Source organism: Homo sapiens, chromosome 11 (assembly GCF_000001405.40).
Source record: "Homo sapiens chromosome 11, GRCh38.p14 Primary Assembly".
Classification (NCBI taxonomy): Eukaryota; Metazoa; Chordata; class Mammalia; order Primates; family Hominidae; genus Homo; species Homo sapiens.
The window spans coordinates 62,036,436-62,058,597 of record NC_000011.10 but is presented as its reverse complement, the minus strand read 5'-3'; the positions used below and the strand labels follow the sequence as shown (position 1 = coordinate 62,058,597).

Genomic DNA, 22,162 nt, shown 5'->3' with positions numbered 1-22,162 from the left:
CGCGGTTCGGTTCAACACAGGCTTCACTTTCTGATTTCCCACCAATTGGCAGCTGGGTCAGAGCCTGGATGAGACCCAGGTCCAAGTGGGGGAGGCAAACAGTGATAGCAGCCACTCTGAGTGGGCTCAAGGACCAAGCTCAGCAGGGCGGGGGGATGAGAGAAAGACAGGGCAGAGGTGGGAGAGCAGATGCCTCGAGGCCGGATCAGACCCAGCAGCGGCTGCATCTCAGAGTTGGGATAGTGAAATGCACCTCTCTGTGCCGGCCCCATGTGTCCTGACAGAGGCTCAGGGACTGAAGCAGGCCCAGTGCAGGTGGAGCAATGGCAGCGAGACTCTGGAGCACGTGTCGCCCACACCGTGCTAAGACAAATGCTTTACATGCATTATCTCATATAATCCTTATTAAATTCCTCTTATCCCCACTTTACAGAGGAGGAAACTGAAGTATATGGAGTTTCAGCAACTTGACCATGGCCTCACTGAGATAAAGAATAAAACAGGGCCGGGTGCAGTGGCTCACACCTGTAATCCCAGTACTTTGGAAGGCCGAGGCGGGTGGATCACTTGAGGTCAGGAGTTGGGGACCAGCCTGGACAACATGGTGACCCCCGTCTCTACTAAAAATACAAAAATTAGCTGGACATGGTGGTGCGTAACTGTAGTCACAGCTACTTGGGAGGCTGAGACACGAGAATCACTTGAATCTGGGAGGCAGAGGTTGCAGTGAGCCGAGGTCACACCACTGCACTCCAGCCTGGGTGACAGAGTAAGAGTCCGTCTCAAAAACAACAGTGAAAACAATGTACTGCAAAGACAGATGGGGAATTTAAGCAAAGCCAGGACTGGTAGCCAGTGGCCACTGCCAGGTGTCCACGCTTGAGCCTTCTCTGCAGCCAGCTGGGAAGTACCACTCCAGAGGGCCAGGCTCCTGGAGGATGACTACATGCCTTCTGGGCAGTGGATTTGGGATGATACAATCCCTGACTTCATGAAACTTACAAGCAGGGGGCACTCCATGGGGTCTCAGATCTACATATGAGGTCCCAGATCAAAATGTAGCCTCAGGGCTACAGTTCAGTGACCTCTCACTACTGCTACATTTATTTTTCCCCTCCACTAAATTTATATGGGCTTGTTTCCTTAAGAAAGAGGAGAGTTTTTTTTTGAGGTATTTTAATAAAATGATCAAATACATGGGTTCAGATGGCCCCTCCATGATTACTGGTTGTATGGTATAAAATACCTCCGTCAACCTCTATGAGCCTTGGTTTCTTCATCTCTAAAATTAGAAATGATAGGCCCTACTCTCAGGGGAACGGTGAGGATTAAATAAAGCACTAAGGACAGCACCCTGCAAGCAGTCAATGTCAGCAAAACTTCAGTAAGCAGGTCAATAGCTTCTTTCCTTAGGGAGTATTCATGAGAAGGTCATTTTCCCTTGACCTTCTTAGTCTGTTCAGACTACCATAACAAAACACCATAGACTGGGTGGCTTGTAAACAATACAAATTTATTTCTGGCAGGGCATGGTGGCTCACACCTATAATCCCAGCAGTTTGAGAGGCCGAGATTGGAGGATGGCTTGAGCCCAGGACCTTGAGCCTCAAGACCAGCCTGGGCAACACAGGGAGACCCTGACTCTACAAAAATTTTTTTTTAAAAAAATTAACCAGACATGGTGGCACACAATTGTAGTCCCACCTACTTGGGAGGCTGAGGTGAAAGGACTGCTTGAACCTGAAAGGTTGAGGCTGCTGTGAGCTATGATCGCACCACTGCACTCAAGCCTGGGTGACAGAATAAGACCCCATCTCATATATATATATATATATATTTTTTTTTTTTTCTTTCTTTTTTTCACAGTTTTGGAGGCTGGGAAGTCCAAGATCAAGGTGCCTGCAGATTTGGTATCTGGGGAGGGCCTGCTTTCTGGTTCACAGACGGCATCTTCTAGAGTGAGGGGTCTCTTTAGGGCCTCGAAGGACACTTATCCCATGCATGAGAGCACATTAAGTCTGCTCTCATGACTTAATCACTTCCCAATGGCCCTGCCTCCTGATACCATCACCTTGGGGGTTAGGTGGGGAGACACAAACATTTAGACCATAGCACCTTCCCTTTCCTTCATATTAAGATACAAAGTCCATTTGCTAGACATTAACACCAGAGGAACTGCACCTTATACATGGATTAGCAAGGACTGAGAGATGATTACAGGACCCCTGCAACCATCCTGACCTGTTGGGAGCCAAAAAGACCAAAGGGATCATGACCAACTCAGCATTCCACTGGAGGCTATATGATCAAACAGCAAACTGTTTATCATGAATGCAGGATGTGAGCGAACTCACGACTGTGCCTGCCTCCAGGAGGCTTGCTGAGGGTCATCACTCCCTGGCGCTGGGCTCCTTGAAGTTATCTGCTGGGAAATCTAGCACCTATTGTTCCAAGGATGCAGTCTTGCAAGCCTGCTGTGAATCAAACTGCCGGCGGACAACCACTCCCCCTCCTTCTTGTTATCTCTTTTACCAATAAATATGGAGGGCTGTGTAAAGCTGGGGCCCCTTGTCCACTAGAGGCAAAGTGCCCCTGACCCATTCTTCCAAATATACTCTTTTGTCTTTATCTTTTACTCCTGCATTTGCCCCCTTTGTTTGATCCACCAGGGATCATGGCTGTCTACAAGTGGCACCCCAAACAGCAACACAATCAGGCGCACAACAAGTGGCGTCTGAACACAGGACTTCAAGGATGTGAGCGAAGAAGGTCTGCTGGAGCAGAGGAACTGAAATTGACAAGGCAAACACGGACCCCGGAACGAGTCTGCCAGCAGCAGATATAAGGTCAGTGCCCTAAAGAGGTACTGATCAGTGTCCTAAAGAGGTATTGGAAGCAGTGCTTTAAAGAAGTCCTGGACGGGAAGTTTTTGCAATCAGGGTAACATGGGGCAGAATTTGCCTATTGAAGAATAACATTATCTGCAGTTTCTCAAAGTTCTGTTGAGACAGTTTGGGGCTCAGGTTAGTTCTCAGACACTAACTAAGCTGCTGCAGGAGGTTATTTTGCATAACCTATGGTTTTCACAGGCAGGCACTCTTGATGTGGAAAACTGGGACAGAACAGCAGAAGGATTAAAATGGGCTCATCAAAAAGGTCTTAAAGTTGATTCTTCTGTTTTCTCCACTTGGAGTTTAGTTCGTACTATGCTTCTGCCATTATCTCCTTATTATTCTGCAGGACAGCAGGCTGAATCTAAAAATCTGAAAGAATCTGTTGTCCCACCCACAGCTCCAATTGAAAATAAGAAACAGGAGAGGGAGGATAAAAATTGGCCTATACCACCTCCTCCAGTTGCAGAAATGTCTGTACTGCCTCCTTCAGTGGCAGAAATAGAGACCCCAATACAAAGAATTTTATGCTCTGCTGCCATGGCTGGAGAGCCCTTAGGACCTTATGCTTTTCCTATTTCCATAAGGCCTGATCCAAATAATCCACAGCAGGTTATTCATGAACACACTCCACTAGAGTTTAAGTTGTTGAAGGAATTAAAAGCGAGTGTAGTAAATAATGGCATATGGAGCCCATTCACTTTAGGATTGCTAGAATCTGTGTTCAGTGCTATGTGTCTTTTACCCTTTGATGTGAAACACTTGGTGTGAACTTGCTTGTCCACTAGTGCATATCTGACATGGAATTTAAATTGGCAAGAAATGTGTGCAGAGCAGGCTAGACAGAATCGTGTTGCTGGACATGGAGATATTTATAAAGGATATGCTGTTATGTAATGGCCCTTATTCAGACCTGGAACGACAAATGACACTCCCAGAGGCTGCTTATCAGCAGTGTGCACAGGTTGCTAAATGCACCTGGGCCACAATTCCTGAAGAGGGAGTCCCAGCACAATCCTTCTTACATATCATGCAAGGGTCACAGGAGCCCTATGCGCAATTTCTTGCAAGATTACAAGAGGCAGTGAAGTGTCATATTCCTCACACTGCGGCTGCAGAAATGCTAACCTTAACTCTAGCTTTTGAGAATGCAAACGCGGATTGTAAACGTGCACTGGCACCAGTGAGGTGTACAAAAAACTTGGGAAATTTTCTCTGAGCTTGTCAGGATGTAGGAACTGAGCTTCATCCATCTGCAATGTTAGTGCAAGCAATGGCTAATTCAGCAGTTGACAAATCTAAAAGGAGCCAAGGGTCAAACTCTAAAATGGGAAAATGTTATAATTATGGAAAAACTGGACATTTTAAAAAGGAATGCCACCAGATCTCAGGACAGAAAGGACCTTACAATGCAGTGCCCCACTCAGCGGAAAAAAATGCCAGGACTTTGTCCTCGCTGTAACAAAGAAAATCACTGGGCTAATCAGTGCCACTCAAAATTTCATCAAAATAGCACCCCCGTCGGGAAACGAGACAGGGGCCTGGACCCAGGCCCCTCAAACAATGAGGGCATTCCCAGTCCAGACCTCAACCCCATTTCAGGGATGGGTTCCCAGAGGCACATTGATTCCCTCACCCCAGGAACACCAGGAAGTGCAGGATTAGACCTACCTGCCAGAGAAAGAATAACAGTAGTTGGTGGAGACAAACCTATCAAAGTTCCCACTGGTATTTGGCGACCTTTACCAACAGGATACACAGGATTAATTTTAGGCAAAAGCCATCTTAACTTACAGGGCATCACTGTAGTCCCGGGAGTGATTGACTCTGATTATGAAGGATAAATTCAAGTAGTTTTAATGTCGCAAGATCTTTGGGTTTTTGAACTGGGAGAATATATTGCTCAGCTATTGCTTATTCCCTGCAAATTACACCCTTCTCCACAAAAGGAGATGCAAGGAAACAAAGGGTTCGGGAGCACAACTGCATGGGAAATCTATCTATCCCAACCCATAGCCTCTAGTAGACCCACCTGTGTAATACAAGTTAAAGGAAAGAAATTTTATGGGCTTATGGATATAGGAGCTGATGTGTCAGTAGTATCTAAAGACAATTGGCCCCCATCCTGGCCCTTGCAATTAACTTCTATGTCCCTATTGGGAGTAGGAACAGCTCAAAGTGTTCAACAAATGCTGAGATTTTACCTTGTCTTGGTCCAGATGGACAGTCATGTACTTTTCAGCCTTATGTTGCAAATATAGCTGTCAATTTATGGGGTTGAGACTTACTTACAGCATGGGATATGAGGCTTATAAATGAAAACTTTGATAACCAGAATTTAAAATGTTGAAGGTCATGAGATATCAGAGTAGAAAAGGTTTAGGGAAATTTCTACAAGGAAACCCTAACCTGATATCAGTAACTGGAAAAACAGATAGAAAAGCATTAGGACGTCAGGATTTCTGATGGGGGTCATTGATATTTCTCCTCCGCCCCCTGCCTTATCATTAGAATGGCTTAGTGACAAACCTGTGTGGGTGGATCAATGGCCCCTAACACAGGAGAAGCTAGGTCAACTTCACCTGTTGGTAAAAGAGCAATTGAATGCAGGACATATAGAAACGTCAGTTAGCCCCTGGAATTCACCGGAATTTGTTATTCCAAAAAAGTCTGGAAACAATAATGACCTCTGGGGTTTCAGCTCAATGCTCAGAACTAATTGCAGTCATTCAGGTTTTACAGCTCACAGCTTCAGATCCTATCAACGTTGTCTGTGATTCAGCTTATGTTGTAAATGTAGCCAGTCACGTATAACAATTATATATTTTTATATATATATATATATATATATATATACACACACACACACACACACACACACACAATCACATATAGCAGCCTTTGGTAAGCTTAGCTATGTTCATGCAATTATAAACACTTATTCTCATATGCTGCATGCTACATGCCAAACAGGTGAGACAGCTGGTCATGTACAGTGACATTGTCTGTCATCATTTGCTCATATGGGGATACCTAAACAATTAAAAACTGACAATGGACCTGCTAATACTAGTCACACTTTTAAAAATTTCTTACAGCTTTGGGCTATAACCTATAAAACAGGAATTCCTTATGACCCTAAAGGACAAGGCATTATAGAGCAGGCACATCAAACATTACAATGCATATTGAAAAGACAAAAAAGGGATATAGGAGGCCAACTACCACCTCAATCAAAACTACATTTAGCCTTATTTACCTTAAATTTTTTGACTCCTGGTATGAATGGTAAGACTCCAGAAGAAAGACATTGGCAATTGTTAGATGAAAAGAGGAAAGTTTATCTGAAAGTGTTATAGAAATCCCCGGAAGAAGGACAATGGAAAGGTCTGGTGTATTTACTAATATGGGGACGAGGGTATGCTTGTGTTTTTACAGGAGATGGATAAGCCGTGTGGGTGCCCTCAAGGTGTGTGCGACCATGGAACGGGAGACTTGAGGAGCCCAGGGTGGCCAACCATGGGCCCGGTCCCTCCGGTACGAGCCGTGAGCCAGCTGAGCCTGAGTGCAAAGACAGAGAGAAGTCCGACCAGAGCCCAATGACATCAACCCCCATAAGCTGGGGACAACTCAAGAAAACCATGCAGGAAGCTGAGAAACTACTGTAGCATCAGGGACAGGCCAGAACCCCTGATTCCATGTTCTTGGCCATGTTAGCCATAATGTCCAATGTGATATGTTTTCCCTGTGCAGAGGCAAAAACATATTGGGCATATGTTCCCAATCCCCCAGTAGTATGACCTATTCTTTGGAGTGACACTCCTCCTGAGCTTTATCATGATCAGGGAGAGTGGGCTCCAGGACTCCTGACTCCCCCTGACATAGAACAGTTAGACTCTCAGAATAATGTCATTAATTATACTGCTCCACTGGAAGGACTTCCTTTGTGTATCACCACAAAGACATCGCTCAGCCATAGCTGTCTTAAATTCAAGCTCAAACATGGTTGAGTCACTATGAAAAAGTCATGCACCTGTTAAGTCTTGGTTCTATTAACGTAACTGGTGTGCTAACCAACCATTCCTGGCCCAATCACCCTAATTGTGCTGATTATACGGAATGGGTTCCATTCAGTATTTCCTACCCCCATCTATGGACCCAGTGTCTTGGTCCACTGGCTAGAAAACAATCTATGTTAACTGGAGACATTGTGGATTGGGGACCTAAAGATCAATTAGATGGAAAAGATGAAAATCAGAAATCATGGCACAAACTTCGCTGGCATTGGTGGCAAGCTTTTAATGCTTCTTCTTTATACAATACTGGGATCCAATCCCAGTCTGCTACCCAGATTGCTTGGCACGGAGCAAGCTTTAGCCCGCCTCTTCCTCAGTGGCATTATCTAGGGAGGAAAGGACCAATTAAAGAGATGATGTGGAAGGCAGCACTCCCATTTACGAATCGCAGCATCTGGATTAGGATACTATCCAATAATAGCAATAGTAAGCAATGCAGTCTAATGTTACATTTGTAAAGATATCACCACTCAATTTACAGTTTGTGTGTTTAATCCTTATGTCTTTTTGGCAGCTAAGAAGGACCAGTTCCAGGTAAACAATACCGAATTAACCTGTAAATCTTGCCAGTTATATAACTGCATTCATCATAGCACATGGCAAACACATAATCTCTCTACTTTGATGATTTTAGGTTGCATCCCTGGGTGATGGATTCCTGTTAATCTGTCTGAGCCTTGGGCTGCCACACCTGCCTGGCATTTTGTGAAACTTCTTCTAACTCAGCTTACTCATTGTGTCTGTAGAGCCTTAGGCATGATAATTTTTGCTATCGTTTCCTTGGTCACACTAATAACTTTTGTCGTGATGTCTTCTGTAGCTTTGCATAATTCTATTCAAACAGCTCAGTACGTGGAGAACTGGACGCACACAGCCAAACAAGTGTGGCTACTTCAGAATAAAATTAACACTGAGTTATAAGCTTAAGTGGCAATGTTAAAATCCATGGTTCTATGGTTAGGAGAACAAGTACAAAACTTGCAGTTGCAACAGCAATTGCGTTATCATTTTAATAACACTCATATTTGTGTAAACAACTTAGAATATAACCAAAGTGAGTATCCGTGGGACCTTGCGAAAGCCCATTTGCAGGGAGCGTTCACATCCAACATCACCTTTGATATTGGTGAATTACAAAACAAAATTCTTGATTTAAATAGGCAAACTCAAGAATTTCAGCCTTCTTTAGAAGACTGGACTGAATTCCAGCAAGGCCTGGAGAGCCTCAACCCTTGGACCTATCTAAGGCACCACATTACCATCTTATATGCAGTTCTTGGAATAATGTGGTTTTGTCTCTGTCTTCTGTTCATAGTCTGTAAAATTGGATGGACCGCCAATTGGAAAATGAGAGCTGCCCAGCCTGGCCTTACATTCTTTCAATTAATACATAAACAGAAAAGGGGAGATGTTGGGTGCTGAAAAGGCCAAAGGGATTGTGACCAACTCAGCATTCCACTGGAGGCTATGTGATCAAACAGCAAACTGTTTATCATGAATGCAGGATGTGAGCAAACTCACGACTGCGCCTGCCGCCAGGAGGCTTGCTGAGGGTCATCATTCCGTGGCACCGGGCTCCTTAAAGTTATCTACTGGTAAATCTAGCACCTATTGTTCAAAGGATGCAGTCTTGCAAGCTTGCTGTGAATCAAACTGCCGGCTGACAACCATCCCCCCTTCTTGTTATCTCTTTTACCAATAAATACGGAGGGCTGTGTAAAGCTTGGGGCCCTTGTCCACTAGAGGCAAGATGCCCCCTGACCCATTCTTCCAAATATACTCTTATGTCCTTGTCTTTTATTCCCATGTTAGCCCCCTTTGTTCAGTCCAACAGGGATCGTGGCAGGCTACACTGTCCTGTGAGGCTGTGAACAGGATGGGAGAGGGGAAGAAGATATGAGCTTGGAGGTGGAGGTCAAAGGACTGAGCACTCTGGTATCACTGGCTTTGAAAGTCTGAGAATTGCCAGGCATGGTGACTCATGCCTGTAATCCCAGCACTTTGGGAGGCCGAGGCAGGTGGATCACCCGAGGTCAGGAGTTTGAGACCAGCGTGACCAACATGGTGAAACCCTGTCTCCACTAAAAAATACAAAATTAGCCAGGCATGGTGGTGCATGCCTGTAAACTCAGCTACTTGGGAGGCTGAGGCAGGAGAATTGCTTGAACCTGGGAGGAAGTGAGCCAAGATCACGACATTGCACTCCAGCCTGGGCGACAAGAGCAAGAAAAGAAAAAGTCTGAGAATCTTTGGCACCTCTTTAATTTCTCTCTCTCTTTCTCCCTTCCATACCTCCTTCCTTCCTTGCTTCATTCATTTATTTATTTCTGTTTTAGAACCAGGGAAGCCCTTGGATACCATTTGAGAAAACACTAGGAAAGACCACTGGGCCAGATCTAGGTGTTGTCCCGGTTCCAACACTAACTGGGAAGTGATCTGGTGGGGCTGGAAGACATGCGGAAGAAAAGTCAGGGCCATGCATGGGCCATGGAGTCCAGCAGAGCAGGGATCAACCCCTGGTTCCAGGACTTGTAACTCTCTGGATCTGTTTCCCTATCTCTATAAAGGGGGTGCTATTCATCTCATAGGGTCCTTGTAAGGCTTCCATGAGGAAAGCTCTTTATGCTGCTCCTGATACACAGTAAGTATTTTGTACTCTTACTATTATTATTAAGAATTACTTTGGCCTGGTGCAGTGGCTCACACCTGTAATCCCAGCATGTTGGGAGGCCGAGGTGGGCGGGTCAGGAGGTCAGCAGTTCAAGACCAGCCTGGCCAAGATGGTGAAGTCCCACCTTTACTAAAAAAAAATACAAAAATTAGCTGGGCATGATGGTGGGTGCCTGTAACCCCAGCTACTCGGGAGCCTGATGCAGGAGAATCGTTTGAACCCGGGAGGCAGAGGTTGCAGTGAGCCAAGATCGTGCCATTGCACTCTAGCCCGGGCAACAGGGTGAGACTCCATTACCCCCGACCCCCACAAAAAAAAAAAAAAGAATTGCTTTGGCCAGATCAGGTCACCTCTGTGAACTTCTTTGTCATCCAAAGAATCTGGTTCTTGATGCATAATTTAAAATACATACCTTTAAACATTTATCCTAATAAGCTAAAATACATGCCTTTAAACATTTATCCTAATTTCCTGTGTCTGCTTTCCTTCTTCCTCCAAGACTTCTCCTCTTTTCTATTTGCTTTGCTTTTTGAACATGTTTCAGACAAATAAGTCAGTGGAGATGAGGTCGTTAATTTACTGGAGCCAGACATGTCTCAGCCTTCCCCTAGGAAGAGGGAGGGAAGGGAAGGTGCTTAGTTCATACCAAGAAAGCATTGGATGAAGTCCTCTTAAAACATGCCCTGCTTCCCCTGGGGCTGTTTTGAGATTCATATATGATGACAAAATTCTTCAAATCCCTTTGACAGTGAAAGCCTGGGCCCAGGGCTAGTGGTGTTTTTGTGTTTTGTGTATTTCAAAACAGAAGTGGAAGAAATAGCTCATTCTAACACCCTGTTGGAGGTGTTGCTGGGACTAGAACCTGGGCCCTGAGCCCCAGCCTGGGGTAAAGTATGTCTGGCTACATGCCTAACTGCATCACATGTCTTAAAACTCCTTCACTTAAAGGCAGTTTAAACTATTGTCTGGAAACAGGAGACCCTGCCACCATCCACGTCAGCATGGAGGGAAACACATCTGCTAATCCAAGGGTGGCTGGTCGGGCTCGTTGGAGGCTGGGGGCCAAAGTGGGCAAGGGAGATGGTGAAAGTCTGGATTCTGCAAGTAACAGAGCAGAGGGGACCAGCTTGAGATATTGTATTCCTTTATCTTTTGTTACATGTAATTTTCTGTTTTGGAAACATTCAGACTCATACACAAGGAGAGAGAATTGTATAATGAACCTCCATGCCCCAAGCACCCATTGTCTTCAGTTATTAACATTTAGTATTTGGGAAGTTGTAAGAGGTGAGATTGAGAAAGTTCGGTGATGGATGAGATAGTGGGGAGCAGGGAAGGAGGACAGGGAAGGGAGCATGAAAGAGAAAGAATAATCTGAGGTGGCCCTGCTCTGTGGCTTGGATCCGGTAAAAAGGAAGCAGCCCAGCCGGTCTGGAGAATGGCGATGAGCTGGGTGAGCAGAGGCTCTCTGGAGTGTGGGAGCTGTGCTGTTGGCACCCTCCACCCTTCCATTCTTTACACTGATATTTACTAATTGAATAAGCAAATAACTCTGGGTAGTGGGACCTCCAAGGGTTCTCAGAGCCTCCTGCGGCACTGGCCAGGCCTGAGGACTAAGCTAGGGGAGCTGGCTGCTCATCCAAAGTCCCCTTTTGGTTGGCTTTGCCCTTTGAGGATCTCTGAAAATAAAAAATAACCACCTAGCCCTTTTCCCAAAAAATGAGAAATTTAGCTTATGTACAGGAGGATACAAGTGAGTGTTCTGGAAAGAGACCTGGGCAAAGTAACATTGAGGGTGCCGGGTCAGCCTTGTGGGGTGCTCCCTGGCCTCTGCCCTGGGGACCCCTTTGCTGGGCACAGGAGTAAAGCACCACTTTCCAGTCACCCACATTATCTCCCCACTGTGCATTTCTAGGACTATGTTCGGGGTGCACAGTGTAGGAAATGGGAGGTGTTCCAGCAAGCCGGGGACTCTGAGGCAGGTTATGTTGACCCAGCTAAGGAGGGACTGGGATGAGGAGCCAGCCTTTTCTGCCCATTCTGGACAAGGAACTGCCTGTCTTAGTGGTGCATGGTGACACTACTGTTCTCCTCGGATACAGGGAGTTTCTTGCTTCTCTTGTACTATTTGTAACCAGGGATGTTACAATCCTGGTTGGCTGATCTTAATAATTCCAAAGCAGGCCAGGTGCGGTGGTTCATGCCTGTAACCCCAGCACTTTGGGAGGCCAAGGCGGGTGGATCACCTGACGTCAGGAATTCAAGACCAGCCTGGCCAACATGGTGAAACCCCATCTCTACTAAAAACACAAAAAATTAACCAGGCATTGTGGCAGACGCCTGTAATCTCAGCAACTCGGGAGGCTGAGGCAGAGAATTGCTTCAACCTGGGAGGCAAAGGTTGCAGTGAGCCAGGATCACACCCCTGCACTCCAGCCTGGGTGACAAGAGTAAGACTCCGTGCCAAAAAAAAAAAAAAAAAGTAATTCCAAAGCAGCTCTTCCTTATCTTCCTTATCGCTATCTAGTGCAATTATAGACAACACCAAAGGTGCTCTTTGAACCTGTTTTTTTTGTTGTTGTTGTTGTTTGATATGGAGTCTTGCCTGTCACCCAGGCTGGAGTTGAGTGGCGTGATCTCAGCTCACTGCAACCTCTGCCTCCCAGGTTCAAGCGATTCTCCTGCTTCAGCCTCCTGAGTAGCTGGGACTACAGGTGCATGCCACCAGGCCTAGCTAATTTTTTTATATGTGTAGTAGAGATGGGGTTTCACCATGTCAGCCAGGATGGTCTCAATCTCCTGCCCTCATGATCCACCTGCCTCGGCCTCCCAAAGTGCTGGGATTACAGGTGTGAGCCAGTTTTATAGGCGTGAGCCAGTTTTACAGGTATGAGCCAGTTTTCATCTGCTTTGGGTGTAAATAACTCTGAGTCACTTAATGTGATTCAATTACCAAGAAGCCCTTTGGCATTCTGGCATTCTATTGTATTCTTTCCTTTGCCTTCTAGCCAACAAAACCAAACAAATTGTTCTTGTCAATTAAACTTCTACCAGCCTTCTAGATCCACCTCTGTGATTATGAAAGAAGCCCGTTTTCACAGTAATCTGATCAATTCCTACCCAGAGTCTGTGCTGCTTTGAGAACTGCTCACCTTGTTGATTGGCATTGAGAACTAAGCTCTGATTTTTTATCTTGCCCAGATTCCTATCTAAGGAGTCTGGGGAGTCATGCCCTACAAACCATAAGTTCTCATCAGTTGGGTTTTGTTTGACCCTGCATATCATGACTTACTTTCCAATCTGACTCTGGCATAACAAGAAAGAAAATCAAAATGTTTTGCCCCAAAATCTATTTCCTTGCCATACCTTGAAATTGCTCTCCAAAGTCTCTTGTGGGAAAAATCCACATTCTATACAGAATCCCCTTTCCCCTTTGTTTTCCTTCCTTTCTTCCCACATCCAGGAGATAATCAACTAAGAGCCAGGCACTAAAAAATACAAAGCCAAAATTTAAAGTCCGCTAAAAAACAATTTACAAACTGCTCTCTCTGAAGTCCGCTTTATAAGAGCTTCCTCTGAACGATAAAACTTGGTCTCTACAATCCTTTATCATTAACCTGAACATTCGTTTCTATGGATCTCACGTCTTTAGACAAACTCAACCAATTGTCAACCAGAAAATGTTTAAATTTACCTATAGCCTGGAAGCCCTCCGCTTTGAGTTGTCCTCCCTTTCTAAACCAAACCAATGTATTTCTTAAAAGTACTTGATTGATGTCTCATGCCTCCCTAAAATGTATAAAACCAAGCTGTATCCCGACCACCTTGGGTACTGTCAGGCCTCTGAGCCCAAGCTAAGCCATCATAACCCCTGTGACCTGCCCGTATACATCCAGATGGCCTGGAGCAACTGAAGAACCACAAAAGATGCCATTCCACCCTTGTGATTTGTTCCTGCCCCACCCCAACTAATCAATCAACCTTGTGACATTCCTCCCCTGGACAATGAGTCTCATGAGCTCCCCACCCTGCCCCCTGTGACCCCCACTCCTGCCTGCAAGAGAACAACCCCCTTTAACTGTAATTTTCCACCTACCTACCCGAATCCTATAAAACTGCCCCACCCCATCTCCCTTTGCTGACTCTTTTCTGACTCAGCCCACTTGCACCCAAGCGAAATAAAAAGTTTTATTGCTCACGCAAAGCCTGTTAGGAGGTCTCTTCACATGGAAGCGCGTGACAGGCACATGTTCTCAGGGTCTCCTGGGGGCTGCGTCATGGGCCATGGTCATTCGTGTTTGGCTCAGAATAAATCTCTTAAAATATTTTACAGAGTTTGGGCCAGGCGCGGTGGCTCATGCCTGTCATTCCAGCACTTTGAGAGACTGAGGCGGGTGGATCATCTGAGGTCGGGAGCTCGAGACCAGCCTGACCAACACTGTGAAACCCCGTCTCTACTAAAAATACAAAAATTAGCCGGGCGTGGTGGTGTGCACCTGTAATCCCAGCTACTCGGGAGCCTGAGGCAGGAGAATCGCTTGAACCCAGGAGGCAGAGGTTGCAGTGAGCCGAGATCGCACCGCTGCCTCCAGCCTGGGCGACAGAGAGAGACTCCGTCTCAAAAAAAAAACAAAAAACACTTCAATGTCATTTGTTTCAAATCTCCCCTCAAGGCTGCCCAGAAAGCTAAGCGAGGGAGATGGGGAGGTGAGCAAGGAGGGTGGTTTACTTTCTCACACTCTCTTGCTCTGTGCTTATTCTTTCGGTGTTGAGTTTGGGACAAGGACGAGGAAATCCGATGGGACTGCCCATGGTGAGTTGTTTATTCTTTGTTCTTTGTAGTGGCCTCTCCTCTTTGGACGTGGCTGCTTCTCTGCCCAACACCGTGTGCACTCTCTTTAGAGGGCCAGTGTCCAAATACTGCCTTTCCCAGAGGGACACAGGTCTCAATGCTTCAGCCTCTTCCCCCCAACCCCCACACCTCCCCAAATTGGACTCAATGCTTCTCAGAATCCCTGGGCTGAAGAACCAGGCTATTTTTCTTCACTGCCAGGGCTCAGAGACCAATACTTCCGTATAGTACATTAGAAATTACTGGGAAGTTGAAAATTTTTTTAAAGACTTACAAAATACAGGTCCCATTCTCATGATTACATTCAACAGTGTGAACCCCGAATATCTGAGACAGGTCTCAGTCAATTTAGAGACTTTATTTTCCCAAGGTTAAGGACATGCCTGTGACACAGCCTCAGGAAGTCCTGAGGCATGTGCCCAAGGTCATCAGGGGTACAGTTTGCTTTCATACATTTTAGAGAGACATGAAACATCAATCAATACATGTAAGATGTACATTGATTCGGTCCAGCAAGGCGGGACAACTGGAAGTGGGGGCTTCCAGGTTAGAAGTGGATAAGAGACAGAAGGTTGCATTCTTTTGAGTCCTTGATCAGCCTTCCACTGAAGGCTGTCTCAGTGAATCTTCATTTTTACATAAATGGTAGGGCAGATAGGCGCGGTGGCTCACACCTGTAATCCCAGCCCTTTGGGAGGCCGAGGCGGGTGGATCACCTGGGGTCAGGAGTTTGAGACCAGCCTAACCAACATGGAGAAACCCCGTCTCAACTGAAAATACAAAATTAGCCAGGCGTGGCAGTGCATGCCTGTAATCCCAGCTACTCGGGAGGCTGAGGCAGGAGAATCGCTTGAACCCAGGAGGTGGAGGTTGCGGTGAGCCGAGACCAGGCCATTGCACTCCAGCCTGGGTAAGAAGAGTGAAACTCCATCGCAAAAATAAATAAATAAATAAATAAATAAATAAATAAATAAATAAATAGGGCAGGGGAAGCAATCAGATATGCATTTGTCTTAGGTGAGCCTCAGGGGGATAACTTTGAATAGAACAGGAAGCAGGTTTGGCCTAAGCAGTTCCCAGCTTGATTTTTCCCTTTAGCTTGGTGATTTTGGAGTCCCAAGATTTATTTTCCTTTCACAACAGACAGAAAATTGTGCTGTCCAATTGCTACAAAACTTTCTAAAGAATTTCTCTTAACTTCTCTACTTACTTCTTCTCAGACTGGTAACCAACAGTTCATGGACCAGGTCCTGTCCCAGGGACACAGTGTGTGTAGTACTAGTTTAGCCTACCTTGAAATAATCTGCTGTATTTTTAATAAAACATATCCTTTATTATAATATTATAAATAACTTGTTTACAATTGTAAAAAACAGTATTTATCCTTTTCCAATCCACTCCTCTGCCCCCTCCTCCAACAGTCAGTTCTACTTCCCTCCTCTTCTTCTCCCTTTATTCCAAACTAACTGGATGTCTTGACCTTTTTTGATGAGTTAATTTGTATTGCAGCTTCTCAGAGAACAGGTGGGAGTGGAGCCAAGGTATCTTGGGGCAGAGGCGGTTGTAACAACTGCTAACAGTTTATGGTAGTTAACGTTGCAGGAGGAGCGATAAGAGAGGCTCACTCTTAGTTAAGCAACAGCAAGGTGTGTTCCAGCTGGCATTATAGGGCGGCCCCAGCCCTGGGCACCTCCAGCTCACTCCCCGTGGCACAGCGTGTGTGCCACTATTACTGCAACCACTCTAACTCACCCCACCTGCCTTTACTCTTTCGAGGATGTCACGTGCCCCATGGATTCCAGTTTGGTCTCACACACTCCAGTGATCTGTATCTTTTCTGGTGACCCAGTCTGCAGGTGCATCCACGCGGCCCTGTTTCCTAATCACCACAGTCAGAACCGTCTCTGCCCTGCCAGTCTCCCAGGTGGCTGCCAGATAACAGATTCAGTTCCACATTCTTTCCTTCAAGGCCCACTCAATTGCCTGTGGTCAGCTGAACTGCAAAGATAAGACTCAAAGATACAGTTGTCTAAAGTTCAGTGGGAAAACAGTCATGGCTGGGCACAGTGGCTCACGCCTGTAATCCCAGCACTTTTGGGAGGCTGAGGTGGGTGGATCACCTGAGGTCAGGAGCTCGAGACCAGCCTGGCCAACATGGGGAAACCCCGTCTCTACTAAAAATACAAAAATTAGCCAGGCGTGGTGGTGGGTGCCTGTAATCTCAGCTACCTGGGAGGCTGAGGCACAAGAATTTCTTGAACCCAGGAGGCAGAGGTTGCAGTGAGCCAAGATCACACCACTGTACTCCAGCCTGGGCAACAGAGCAAGACTTGTCTAAAATAAAATAAAAGATATTTCCCTTTTAAAAAAAACCCAGATTTGAGGCATGTGTCATATTTTATCCTCAAGACATGTGAAGCAGGGTCACCTAATTGTCTACAGAGAAAGTGTCTGGGGGCTTAGGAGTGGGGTCAGCCAGGGCAGGATATTTGAACTATGTTCACTGTGTAAGGGGAGAGAGGACTGCAGAAATGGGATAGGACTGCAGGATGTGCAAGGGGATAAGGGCGGGGATGGCTCAGAGACTTGCTCAGGTGCAGGGTGGCTGTAGCTGTGGATGTCCCCATCATGAGACTCCTTCAGGAGCTTTCTGCCTGCCTTTCTACCTCCCCTCTTGTCCCCCTAAGATCCATTATCAGAAGCCAAAGTGATCCTTTTGTTTTATTTTATTTTATTATTATTTTTGAGACAGAGTCTCGCTCCGTCACCCAGGCTGGAGTGCGATGGCACAATCTCGGCTCACTGCAACCTTCTCCTCCCAGGTTCAAGCAATTCTCCTGCCTCAGCCTCCCAAGTAGCTGGGATTACAGGTGCCTGCCACCATGCCCAGCTAATTTTATTTATTTATTATTATTATTATTATTATTATTATTTGTATTTGTATTTTTAGTAGAGACGGGGTTTCGCCATGTTGGCCAGCCTATTCTCGAACTCCTGACCTCAGATGATCCACCTACCTCAGCCTAGCAAACTGCTGGGATTACAGGAGTGAGCCACCACACCCGGCCCAAAGTGATCCTTTTAAAACATAGCTCATTTGTCACCATCCTGCTCCACCTCCTAAACTGGTTTTCTATTACAAGTGGAATAAAATCCAAGCTCCCCACCTAGCCTCAATGCCCATTGTGACCCACCTCTGACCTGTCTGGTACCACCCTCCCTGACCCACTCTGATGGGCACCTGCTGGACAGCAGTGCCATTCACTACCATCTGGAATGAAGGGGGAAGACATTGCAGAGGGCTCAGATCCCATAGCAACCACCGGAATGTCATTTTCCCCAGGAAGCTGGTACCCACAGATTCATTTGCTTGAGAAGATGAAATTTCCATTTTCCATATGCTGAATTTAAGATGGGCACCATCCAGTGAGGCAAAAGACGTGCAAACCGTTGCACTCCTGGAGAAATGTTTCTCGCATGCACCGAATAGCAGAAAGCAGAGGTCAGCAAACTGCAGCCCGTGGGCCAAAGCCAACCCCAACAACCTGTTTTTGTACAGCCTGCAAGCTAAGAACAATGTTTACATTTTTAAATAGTTTTTACATTTTTCATTTATTTATTTATTTATTTATTTTATTTTATTTTTTTGGAACGAAATTTCGCTCTTGTTGCCCAGGCTGGAGCGCAATGGCACGATCTCGGCTCACTGCAACCTCTGTCTGCCTCCCAGGTTCGAGCGATTCTCCTGCCTCAGCCTCCTGAGTAGCTGGGATTACAGGCGCCCGCCATCACGCCCAGCTAATTTTTGTATTTTTAGTAGAGACGGGGTTTCACCATGTTGACCAGGCTGGTCTTGAACTTCTGACCTCAGGTGATCCACCCGCCTCAGCCTCCCAAAGTGCTGGGATTACAGGCGTGAGCCACCACACCTGGCCACATTTTTCTTTTTAAAAAAAGAAAGAAAGAATGTAGGCTGGGAGTGGTGGCTCATGCCTGTAATCTGAGGCTGAGGTAAGAGGATCACTTGAGCCCAGGAGTTTGAGACCAGCCTGGGTAAATTGTGAGACCTCATCTCTATTTTAAAAAAAGAAGAAGAATGTATATGCAACAGAAACCAGCTGTACCCACGAAGCCTAAGATGTTTATTATCTGTGCTTTACAGAATAAGTTTGCTAGACCTGATATATAGGAATACTTACACAGGACTGTAATACTTACACTGTGTCTGCTGGGCACAGTGGCTCACACCTGTAATCCCAGCACTTTGGGAGGCCGGGGCAGGTGGATCACCTGAGGTCAGGAATTCAAGACCAGCCTGGCCAACATGGTGAAACCCCGTCTCTACTAAAGATACAAAAATTAGCCAGGCATGGTGGCAGGCACCTGTAATCCCAGCTACTTGGGAGGCCGAGGCAGGAGAATTGCTTGAACCCGGGAAGCAGAGGTTGCAGTGAACCGAGATTGTGCCATGCACTCCAGCCTGGGGGACAAGAGCAAGACTTCGTCTCAAAAAAAAAAAAAACCAAAACCTGGAAACATCTGAATATCCATTATCAGTAGAATAAATGAATGTAAAAATAAGTTCATTTAATGGATATTATGCAGTGAAGGCAATGAACAAACTGTAGCTACATGTAACACTTGGATGAGTCTCATAAACAATACTGAGCAAAAAATACAGGACACAAAAAAATACAAACAATAAGATTACATTCAAACAAGTTAAAAACAATCAAAAGGGAAGTCCTAGCTAGAGCAATCAGATAAGAGAAAGAAATAAAGAGCATTCAAATTGAATAGGAAAAAGTCAAATTATCCTTGTTTGCAGATGATATGATCTTATATTTGGAAAAACCTAAAGACTCCACCAAAAAACTGTTACAACTGATAAATTCAGTAAAGTTGCAGAATACAAAATCAACATACAAAAATTAGTAACATTTCTATATGCCAACAGTGAACAATCTGAAAAAGAAATCAAAAAATTAATACCATTTACAATAGCTACAAATAAAATTAAATACCTAGGAATTAACTTAACCAAAGAAGTGAAAGATCTCTACAATGAAAACTATAAAACATTGATGAAAAAATGAAGAGGACATGAAAAAATGGAAAGATATTCCATGTTCATGGATTAGAAAAATCAATATTGTTAAAATGTCCATACTACCCAAAGCTATCTACAGATTCAAGGCAATCTATCAAAATACCAAGACATTCTTCATAGAAATAGAAAAAATCTATTCTAAAATGTATATGGAACCATAAAAGACCTGGAATAGCCAAAGCTATCCTGAGCAAAATGAATAAAACTGGAGGAATCACATTACCTAACTTCAAATTATACTACAGAGCTATAGAAACCAAAACAGCATAGTACTGGCATAAAAATAGACACATAGGCCAATGGAACAGAATAGAGAACCCGGAAACAAATCCACGCATCTACAGTGAACTCATTTTCAACAAAGATGCCAAGAACACACATTGAGGAAAGGACAGTCTCTCCAATAAATGGTGCTGGGGAAACTGGATATCCATAGGGAGAAGAATGACACTATCTCTCACCATGTACAAAAATGAAATCAAAATGGATTAAAGACTTAAATCTGGGCTGGGTGCGGTGGCTCATGCCTGTAATCCCAGCACTTTGGGAGGCCAAGGCAGGCAGATCACCTGAGGCCAGGAGTTCAAGACCATCCTGGCCAACATGGTGAAACCCTGTTTCTACTAAAATTACAAAAATTAGCTGGGCGTGGTGGTGATTGCCTGTAATCCCAGCTACTCAGGAGGCTGAAGCAAGAGAATCGCTTGAACCCAGGAGGCAGAAGTTACAGTGAGCTGAGATCAGGCCACTGTACTTCAGCCTGGGCAACAGACTGAGACTCTGTCTCAAAAAAAAAAAAAAGAGAGAGACTTAAATCTAAGACTTCCAACTATGAAACCATTGCAAGAAAACATCAGGGAAAATATTCAGGACATTGAAATGGGCAAAAATTTCTTGACCAACACCCCATAAGCATAGGCAACCAAAACAAAAATGGACAAATGGGATCACATCAAGTTAAAACGCTTCTGCACAGCAAAGGAAACAATCCATAATGTGAAGAGACAACCCACAGAATGGGAGAAAATATTTGCAAACATCTTACAAAGGACTAATAACCAGACTGTATAAGAGTTCAAGGCCAGGCACGGTGGCTCGTGCCTATAATCTCAGCACTTTGGGAAGCCAAGGTGGGTGGATTATGAGGTCAGGAGTTCAAGTCCAGCCTGGCCAAGATGGGGAAACCCCGTCTCTACTAAAAACTACAAAAAAAATTAGCCAGGCATGGTGGCAGGTGCCTGTAATCCCAGCTACTTGGGAGGCTGAGGCAGGAGAATGGCTTGAACCTGGGCAGCAGAGGTTGCAGTGAGCCGAGATCGCACTGCTGCACTCCAGCCTGAGTGACAGAGTGAGACTTCGTTGCAAAAAAAAAAAAAAAAAAAAAAAAAAAAGAATTCAAACAACGATATAGGAAAAAATCTTCTAAAAATGGGCAAAAGAGGTGAATAGACATTCCTCAAAAGAAGACATAAAAGTGACAAACAGGTATATGAAAAGATGGTCAATATCATTGATCATCAGAGAAAAGCAAATCAAAACTACAATAAGAGATCATCTCACCCCAGTTAAAATGGCCAATATCCAAAGGACACACAATAACAAATGCTGGTGAGGATGTGGAGAAAAGGGAAGCCTCGTACACTATTGGTGGGAATGTAAATTAGTACAACCACTATGGAGAACAGTTTGGAGGTTCCTCAAGAAATTAAAAATAAAGCTACCATATAATCCAACAGTCCCACTGCTGGGTATATACCCAAAAGAAAGGAACTCAGTACATTGAAGAGATATCTGCACTTCTATGTTTATTACAGCATGATTTACAATAGCCAAGATTTGGAAGCTACTTAAGTTGCTATCAGCAGATGAATGAATAAAGAAAATACAGTACATATACACAAGGGAGTACTATTCAGCCATAAAAAAAGAAGGAGATCCTGTCATTTGCAACAACATGAATGGAGCTGGAGGCCATTATTTCATTAAGTGATATAAGCCAGGCACAGAAAGACAAACTTTGTATGTTCTCACTTTTTTTTTTTTTTTTTTTTTGAGACAGGGTCTCACTTTGTCACCCAGGTGGAGTGCAGTGGCGCAATCACAGTTCACTGCAGCCTCAGCCTCCTGTATTCAGGTGATCCTCCTGCCTCAGCCCCTCAAGAAGCTGGAACTACAGGTGTTTCCCACCACACCCGGCTAACTTTTTTGTATTTTTTGTAGAGATGGGGTTTCACCATGTTGCCCAGGCTGGTCTCCAACTCCTGGGCTCAAGTGATCTGCTGGCCTCAGCCTCCAAAAGGACAACAGGCGTGAGCCACCATCCCTGGCCATGTCCTCACTTATTTGTAGGAGCTAACAATTAAAACAAGCTCATGGCCAGAGGCTGGAAAGGGTAGTGGGGGATGGAAGGGAAATGGTTAATGGGCACAAAAAATAATTAGATAGAATGAATAAGATCTAGTATTTGATAGCACAATGGGGTAGCTACAGTCAATAATAATTTTTTTTTTTTTGAGATGGAGTCTTGCTCTGTCGCCCAGGCTGGAGTGCAGTGGCATGATC

The 22,162-nt window shown here is 45.0% G+C and overlaps 1 long non-coding RNA gene across 1 annotated transcript in view, besides 1 other annotated feature; it reads left to right on the top strand.

Annotated features, from left to right (window-relative positions):
- The window catches only part of LINC02733 (long intergenic non-protein coding RNA 2733), a 32,467-nt gene extending 23,725 nt beyond the window's left edge, over window positions 1-8,742 (top strand). Inside the window, exons 2-3 of the long non-coding RNA NR_183616.1 lie at window positions 2,670-2,846; window positions 6,330-8,742. This is a non-coding gene — a long non-coding RNA (long intergenic non-protein coding RNA 2733). The remainder of the gene's footprint in view (window positions 1-2,669; window positions 2,847-6,329) is intronic.
- Window positions 13,148-14,347: an enhancer, noted in NCBI's record as "P300/CBP strongly-dependent group 1 enhancer chr11:61811723-61812922 (GRCh37/hg19 assembly coordinates)". NCBI's record gives its function as "activates an origin of replication core promoter dependent on BRD2, BRD4, P300/CBP, MED14 and CDK7 cofactors, with strong dependence on P300/CBP, by STARR-seq in HCT116 cells {active_cell/tissue: HCT116}" and the evidence as "EXISTENCE:reporter gene assay evidence [ECO:0000049][PMID:35650434]".